General features: G+C 43.2%; 1 long non-coding RNA gene across 1 annotated transcript; it reads left to right on the forward strand.

Moving 5' to 3' along the window:
* The first annotated feature begins 4,816 nt into the window (after positions 1 to 4,816).
* LINC02230 (long intergenic non-protein coding RNA 2230) lies at positions 4,817 to 5,676 on the forward strand. Its single transcript, NR_146627.1, has 2 exons — positions 4,817 to 4,866; positions 5,194 to 5,676. It is a non-coding gene; the product is annotated as a long intergenic non-protein coding RNA 2230 (long non-coding RNA).
* The last annotated feature ends 966 nt before the right edge of the window (positions 5,677 to 6,642 follow it).

Below are 6,642 nucleotides of genomic sequence, written 5' to 3' on the forward strand. Positions count from 1 at the left end.
ACTGTCCCAATGGGGAAGAGGAGGGTTGCCTTGTTACTGCTGAGTGACAGTAAAAGCTTAGGCTCCTCATATGGTTTCCACTGACATTACAGGGATAGGGAGGATCTCATTATCAATGAGGTGGAGATAAAAGTCTTGGCTCCTTATGTGACTCTCTCTGATTCCATCATGGCAGAGGCTTAGGCTGCCTCATCACAACATTGTGATGGTGGGAGTCTAGGCTTTGCTGGCATGTAGGGTAAGGTCACAGTTTTTCTGTGGTGTTTACTTGGAATAGAATTACTTATTATGTAAGTTTTCTGTTTTGCCAAGCTGCACCTTTCCTTGTCCTTTGGCTAGAGACAGCAAGCTTCCTTGGGGCTTTTAATGTCTGCACCCACAGGCATTTCTGGGTTGCTAGCTTCCTTAGCTCCAAATCTAGCATACATGAGGCAAAAAGAAAATCCAGGGAACTCATCTCCATGTCATTCCTTAGGTCATCATGTCCCTAGCTGGTCTGCCTACGTTTCTCCATCTTTTAGAGTTTTCTTCTGCTAGTTTCATATATAATATCCAGGGTTTTTAGTTGTATTTAGTGGCAGGAATAGCGAGCGAAAAGTATGTCAACTACATCTTCCTGGAAGACAAAGTTACTCATTCCACATTTTAAATACAAGTATAACTAAGAATTTCATTGCAAGGCTTGGAAAATCCTACTGCTAAGAAATAGCCATGACTTTATAAGAACCCATAAAAGCTGATGTTCAGGAGCCAAAACTAACTTTTCTAATAGAGAAAGACTTTATATAAGTTTTCACTCGATGTTACTGTTTGGTTTGGGGAACTCCTTTTGACCTGTAATAGATACGATGTGTCATAAAAAGGATATTAAAAGTCATTCCTGAGCTTGAAGTGATTTGATGATAAGTAAAGAAGGCTTTATTATGTTAGCAGAACTTTGAGGTTTTAGGAGAACTCTGTCACCTGGTTGCTTTGAACCAGAAGGTAAGTTATTCTAAGCCAGGCACTACATCTGCATGATCTGCTCAGTATCCCAAATCGATTACATCATTTATATATGTACATGTCAGGAATACACACTGCAAGTCTCAAAAAGTGGGCAGAAAAATGTTCCTTAGGGCATCTCCCCATGGAATGGCTTAGATTTGGTTCAGGCTAGAAATTGACAGATAATGAGCCCGCAAGATACAGTCTAAGTTTTCTAAAGTGAAAGTGAAGATTGGGAGTGTCAGTTTATGTTCTGGGATTCAAAACAGAATCCTTTTTCAGAAAGGATCCTGTTACTTTTTGTAAATTGCAAAACAAAACCTTCTATTTTGGAAAACCCCTCTCTCTTTTACAAAAGACACCCAGAGACTGCTTGGGTGAGACTCACACTTGGGTGATGAAGACAAATCACACTGGAGCAGTCCAGAAAATACTTTGCTGGTGTTGGTTTGGTCCAAGCACACTGTGTACTTGAGCAATGGGCGTGAGTTTTGGGATAGGGTAGGGGTAAGGGAATAAAAAAGCAACTCAAAGTGTTCTCTGCCAGAGCTGAAAGCAACTCTCCTTGACACTCTTCAATTTTCTTTCCCACACAGTCCTGACATGGCCTTTCAGTATCAACTAGATATTCCCAGAGAGTGCCTATAACCCGTCAGAGATCTTTGTTTTCTTATGTCAATGTGTTTATTATCAGCAAAAATCTCACTATTCAGAAAGAATAATGTTAAATGGTGTTCGGCCTCAGAGTATTTGGCTCTGATTTTATTTCATAAAACTGTGTTTTCCAAATCTTATATGTTAGACCTGGGAAATGCATGAAACATAAGCACCTGGATTTTAAATTCCCCTTAGGAATCTATGCAATGGTCTATACAATGGGCTTAAAGATATATGCACTAAGCAGGTAGTCTTGCTAGCAAGAGATTTTCCTTCAAGATCTAACAATTAGCTCCCTGGCAAGGACTAAGAAGTCAAGCCAAATGAGAACACTGACATTCTAAGATTTAAAGAGGCGGCTCCTTTAGCTGCCCTCTTCTCCCTGCATAATGGGTCTCTAGTAAAGCAACTGAAGCACATCTTGAGGGAACATCTGCAAAACCTAACTTTATTCTTTGCCTTAGCTTCTAAAAAGGGAGACCAGAGTTCTTCACATTTCTTTTTTTCTTTTTCTTTTTTTTTTTTGTTTTTGTTTTTGTTTTGTTTTGTTTTTTTTAGATAGAGTCTCTCTCTGTGGCCCAGGGTGGAGTGCAATGGTGTGATCTCAGCTCACTGCAAACTCCACCTCCCAGGTTCAAGCGATTCTCCTGCCTCAGCCTCCTGAGTAGCTGGACTACAGGTGCATGCCACCACGCCCAGCTAATTTTTGCATTTTTAGTAGAGACGAATTTTATCGTGTTGGCCAGGCTGGTCTCGAACTTCTGACCTCAAGTGATCTGCCCACCTCAGCCTCCCAAAGTGCTGGGATTACAAGTGTGAGCCACTGTGCTCAGCCCAGAGTTCTTCACATTTCCGAAAAGAATGTAAAAATATCTCTTGCAGTGCTGAAAACAACATACTCTCCACTCTAAAGGATCCAGAGCCCCAGTGCAAGTGATGATATAAGGAAGATGTGTCCAGTGCTTAGAGGAGGACAGCCAACCAGCAAAAACACAACAGTAAATGCTGTCTTCATAGCAAAATGCCAGGACTGTAGAAAGAGGAAACAATGGACCCAAAGGTAGTCCGTGCACGATGAATTGGATTTTCACCACATCCATAATAACTGAACAGTCCATCCAAAGCCTGAAGCATGTACACAGTTTACCAAGGGTGCAGCAGTGGGAAAAGCACAATTCTAGAGCCAGGCAGACTGGGTTTGAATCCCAATTCCAGTACTTACTAGCTATGTAACCTGGTACTGGTTGCCTAAGTTCTCAGACCTCAATTTTCTTATCTGTGAAATGAGAATTCATTCATTAGTTCAGCATTTATTCAATGCTTATTATGCGGCAAACATTCCACTAGGTCCAAAGTAATACAATGATGAATAAAACAGGCTTCTTGTGAGTTCCAATTTAAATGAAATAATGCATGTAAAGCACCTACTACAGAGACAGGTACATGGGAGATGATTAATAATTTTTATTTCCTTTCTCGTTTTTTATCCTTTCACAGATGTAGAAGTAGCTAAATCCCAAACAACCATTTGTTCATCAAAAGATAAATACTGTCATCTCTACCTCCAGCACAAAGAAAGCATTAATCCATGGACTGACTCCTCTCAGGAGAATTTAGCGTCTCAAGTGTGAAGTCTTTTCACTGGAGCTTGAGATGAAGAAGAAGAGGGAATTCTAAAGGTTCCCCATCATCCACCTACCCTGACCATCCCCCCTATTCTGGACCTACCCTTGACTAACAGTCACATAGTGTAGGGAGTAGAGTACAGAAAGCAGAGGATGTACTGGTTCATTTTCCTGAGCCACTTACTAATCACCTGACAGAAGGCGAGTCATTTCAGCCAAAAATAATAACAGCCGTCATCTACTGAATCCCTTAAAAGTGCCCCCACTAGACTGAAAATTCCTTGAGATAAGGATGGACTTACTTATGCCCTCCCTTAAGTGACTACCAAAGTGCAAATAGTTGGCACTCAAAATACATTCATTGAATATAAAATTGAGATAATTCTTTTTTCCTTTATTTTTTGCCTGCTTCATTTTTCCTTTATATAAAACTGGGATCATTCTGCCTTGCCCATGCTGTAGGGTTTTTATGAAGATTAAATGAGTGCATTTCTATAAAAACTTTTTGAGGTTATAAAATATGCAAATGTAAGGAATCTGTCTGTTTTGGGTCTAGGAAAAAAGTAGAAAAAAGAAGAAATGAAAAAGATAAAAGAGAGCTGGGAGTGAGGTAGGCAGCTACATTTGAAAGCAATCTGAAGCCACTCAGAGGTGGAGGAAAGAGATTTAAATTGCTGCAAGAATTTGAAGGCCACCTCCCACCCAGCCCATCAGTCTTTCAGGGACTGTTCTTCAAGACTTACTCAAAGACATTCTGTCCTATGACCAACTTTAGGGTAACGGGGAAAAGAATTATGACAGTCACATCATATGATGAAATGCCAAGTAGCATTTCAAAGGTCACACTTCAGAAAGTCTGTTAATGATATGGAAAGTGATTAAGCACAAATTATGTAATTTTAAAAATAAAGCAGTTGAGATCTTAATTTTGTAAATATATATATATAATAAAAACATATAGAAGCAATGAGAAAAGACTGAGCAGAGATCTATCAATAAGTTACCAGAAATATATTATTATAAGTCATTTTAATTGTCTTTTAAATATATATGCATTTTTATACACTCTTCAATGAATAAGTGAATAATTGGAAATATAACTCTGTGTGTGTGTGTGTAAACATATTCTGTTCTTCACTGTTCTAGCCAGGAACTGATTTAGATCTGAATCAATTATTCCAAGAACCAAAATCACCAAGAACTGAATCACATCCAATCACCTTGAACCAAGTCCCAGTTGGAAAAAATGAGACCCATAATTCAGCTTTTTCGTTTTGTCAGCTGTAAGGCTAGATTAGGCCCTTTCCCCTTCAACCCTGGAGGTTAGATGCCTGGTTCCAGCAATGGCTCTTCTTCTAATAGCTCTGTGCTCTCAGACATATCACTGCCCCTCTCTGGGCCTCCCTCCTGTGCTGTAAAATGATGGAGCTGCAATCGGGGCCGCCTGGGCAATTGTTACGCCACTCATGACCTTCTCTTGGTTCTTTTCCTCTGTGTTCTGCTTGTTCCGTTTCACTGCCCCTTACAATTCTTCCCAAGGAAAAGAAGTGAAATGCAAATGAGTTTTTTGAGTTTTTGTTGACACCTCTAACTGCAGGTTGGAAAGCTTGGGGGCTTTGGCCCTGGTTGGGTAGGTTCTGCTCGCTGGGGAATCAGGCCTGAGCTGGCTCTGATCCCTCTCCCTTCTCCTAATCACTGCCCTGGCTGCAGAACTCTGGGCTGGCACCAGAATAGCAGCCAACATTTGGCTGACACAGGACATAATTTTTAATCATGGGAAGGCAGACATAAGTACAAAAGGCCTATTTTCTTCACGCAGGTTCAAGTATCTGCTTTTGGGTTATGTCTGTCTGTATTTGGCAGGGCTGGTCTTGGGGAAGTTCCGGGATTCGTGAACAAAAGGTCAGTCTCCTTCCTTTTCCAGGATGGAAGCGGCACAAATTGTTCTGATCAGGGAGCAATAACATGCAACGATCCCCAGGGCTCCCAGGCAGGCGGAGGGGGCACCCAGTCTCAGCAGCCCGCGATCTGCTTGGCCCCTGCGAGCTGCATGCCTCACATTTCCCCAGCTCCAGCCTCCTTTCAAAGGCCCTTTATTAAACCACCAACTATTTGCTGTCGAGACATTTAGGATGAAATCATTGTGTTAAACAAATAAACGCAGCTTCGTCCAGATTTCTGCTCTGGGAGCAGAGTAAGAAAATAATTTCTGTCTGCTCGCCACAAAAGCGGCTGGAAAGGTCCAAAGAAAAATATTATTTTTACTCCATTGTGTGAAATATTGTCCTGGAGGATCTGACGGGCTGAGCGTTTGAAGAGTTTGTGCTGGCAGGTTTCAAGGGTCCCCTGGGTCGGCCCCCTGGGATTGTTTTCTGCATTAATAAACTGAGCATGATGTGTGTTAAAAGGAACATTCTGTTTGCTTTGTAAATAAGGGATGTCAAACAAGAAGCAGAAGCCTTACAGACACTAGGTGATGTGTTCTCAGAGCGGGGAGAGGGAGGAGGGTGGGAGAGGCACCCTGGAAAAATGGGCATCACTGGGGCTCCCTGAACTGAGCGGAGGCCTTGTTGAGAAAACAAATCAGTCTGTTTGAGTCCAAACCAGGCCACTTCCTCACTGATCCTGGTGGGAAAGCTGAACACTTTGCCCTGAACCAGCAGGATACGGGCTTGGGAAGGAAAGTTCTCAAGTGTCTGTCAGCTGTGTGGTGGAGGAGAGATGATGGCGCCTGGCAGAGGCCCTCCCCCTACCCGCACCCCCCTCCCCTCCCTTTTGGAGAAGGTTCTTGGCTTGCCGGGGTCTCCCAGAGCTGGAGGGCAGGAGGGGGCAGAGGTTAAAGCCATATCTTTGGGAATGATGATGTGGCTCTCGCCCCCTCTATCCCTCTCATACTCCTTCCTCAGATGTCACTGCAGCCCCAAGCGGGTTCCCCTGTCAAATTCCTGACCGGTCCTTGGGGACGCTGACATCGTGGGAGACACATCACCCTGGCCCTGTGATCCTTGCCTCTGCGGGAAACCTGCAGGAGCCAGGGCAGGATGTGTACCGTCTCTGGCTCAAGTATTTGCTATTTTCACAGGTGCCTCCCCTGGCCCCGCAGCCCTCTCCGTTGTCCGCTGTCCGCTCCAATGTTATTGAAGGCTCCCCAGACCTCCCAGGCATTCTCATTTCCACCCGCTGCCCTGCTGCTGTCTTCCCTCTCTCCCTAAATTCTCCCTTCCCCTCTGTGGTCCTCGGAGGAATCCCTTGTCATCCATTTCTATTCTGGAAAGTCCTGGCTCTCTCCTTGCCCAAAAGTTCAAACTGTTTCTTGAAGCTTTGGAAGAAGGGGACAACAGGGAATCCTGAGTTCTGTTTAGTGAGCATCATA

Source organism: Homo sapiens, chromosome 5, assembly GCF_000001405.40.
Source record: "Homo sapiens chromosome 5, GRCh38.p14 Primary Assembly".
NCBI lineage: Eukaryota > Metazoa > Chordata > Mammalia > Primates > Hominidae > Homo > Homo sapiens.